The sequence below is a fragment of the Homo sapiens genome, chromosome 4, assembly GCF_000001405.40.
Source record: "Homo sapiens chromosome 4, GRCh38.p14 Primary Assembly".
Classification (NCBI taxonomy): domain Eukaryota; kingdom Metazoa; phylum Chordata; class Mammalia; order Primates; family Hominidae; genus Homo; species Homo sapiens.
Window position 1 is genome coordinate 173,731,569 of NC_000004.12, and position 1,813 is coordinate 173,733,381.

A 1,813-nucleotide genomic window follows, 5' to 3' on the forward strand; every position below is an offset into this window, starting at 1 on the left:
TAAATTAGAAATCAATTAAAAATATGTGGAAAATATCTGAATATTCAAAAATAGAACAAGATATTTCTAAATAATCCACAGATCAAAGAAGAAATCTCAGAGGAAATCTCAAAGGAAATCAGAATTTTTTTGAATTGAATGACAACGAAAACATAAAATACCAAAATTTGTAGGCTGTAGTTAAAACAGTGCTTACAGGGAAATTGATAACATTAAATACTCACATTAGAAAATAACATAGAGTTTTGATCATTACACCCTCCATTCATATAACAAAATGTTACATATAACTCATAAATATGTAAAATATTGTATATCAGAAAAAAATAGAGCTTTAAATTAATATGTTGCACCTTAACAAACTAGGCAAAGAAGGGAAAATATGCACAACATTTTGCATGTAATTTCTTGTGATCCTGGAACCCTCTGAAACCTATCATGAACTGCCGGTTAAGAATCCCTGATCCCAGGCCTGGCACGGTGGCTCACACCTGTAATCCCAGCAGTTTGGGAGGCCTAGGTGGGAGGATCACGAGGTCAGGAGATCAAGACCATCTTGGCCAACATGGTGAAATCCTGTCTCTGCTAAAATATGAAAAATCATCCAGGTGTAGTGGCCCATGCCTGTAATCCCAGCTACTTGGGAGGCTGACACAGGTGAATTGTTTGAACCCGGGAGGCAGAGGTTGCAGTGAGCTGAGATCACGCCACTGCACTCCAGCCTGATGACAGAGCAAGAGTCTGTCAAAAAAAAAAAAAAAAAAAAAAATCCCTGATCCCTAATGATTAATCCCAAATTTGTATCCCCATCCCAGACCTCAGTCCTGAGCTCCAGAATTTTAGGTTGAAATGCTTTCAGGACATCTACAGTTAAACAGTTCACAGACACCTAAAAATTAAAACTTCCAAAACATAGTGAACTAACTCCTCCTCCTGTTTCCTTTCTTCCCATATCTCTTCTTCCTTGTCTCAACCTATACCAAGGAACTATGTGACCACCCGCTTAGCTGCCCATATTGAAATCCTGGGCATCTTCTCTTTCCCTCACTCACGCATATAGTCAATCCCTAAATCCTGCTTTTTTTTTTTTTTTTTCAACACCTAAAACCTCTCACAGCCACCTGTTTTTCTCCATCCTGTTGCTGTTGTCATCAAGTAGGTCATGAACATTTCCTGGGTAGATCTGTGAACAGCTTCCTAACTCATCCCTCCTCTCCCTCACCTCTGGTTGCTCTTTCTGTATATCCACTTTCACAAGGCAGTGAGGATGACATTTCAAAATGGGCTAATATGATCTTGACATGTCTTCATTGATGACCTTTATCTAGCTTTGCTGTGTCCTTGGGATTGATTCCAGTGTCTCTAACATGGCTTATAAGACCCTTCATGATTGGGACCCTATTCATCCCGAGTCTTCTCCTCATGTTCTGCTCTTAACTTTATGTTCACTGATAATGAATTATTTCTGTTTCTCTCCGTTTCATGCTTTGCTCTTTCTTTTAGGCCTTCACAGATGCTGTTCCTTTTGTCTGGAATATTTTTCCTGACCCCTTTCCCTTTATACCCTCATCCCCACTCCCCCCCACCCCACCCTCACTTTATCGAATCATTCCTATTCAGCCTGTAGACCTAATTTAGCTGTGATTTCTCTGTCAGGACTTCCCAGATCTTCCTTCTGCGGCTTCCCTGTCTCCTCCTCCAGTGAGTTAGTGTCCCTGCTGAGAATCTCATTGCATTTTATCATTCTGAATTGGAATTTCTGAATTGTGTGTCTTCCCCACTCAACTCTAAATATAATGTTTATCCTTGCAGA

General features: G+C 39.9%; 1 annotated feature.

Annotated features, from left to right (window-relative positions):
• Positions 460–651: a silencer, noted in NCBI's record as "fragment chr4:174653179-174653370 (GRCh37/hg19 assembly coordinates)". NCBI's record gives its function as "represses an EF-1alpha promoter that drives an FKBP-Casp9 reporter gene in an ReSE screen in K562 erythroleukemia cells {active_cell/tissue: K562}" and the evidence as "EXISTENCE:reporter gene assay evidence [ECO:0000049][PMID:32094911]".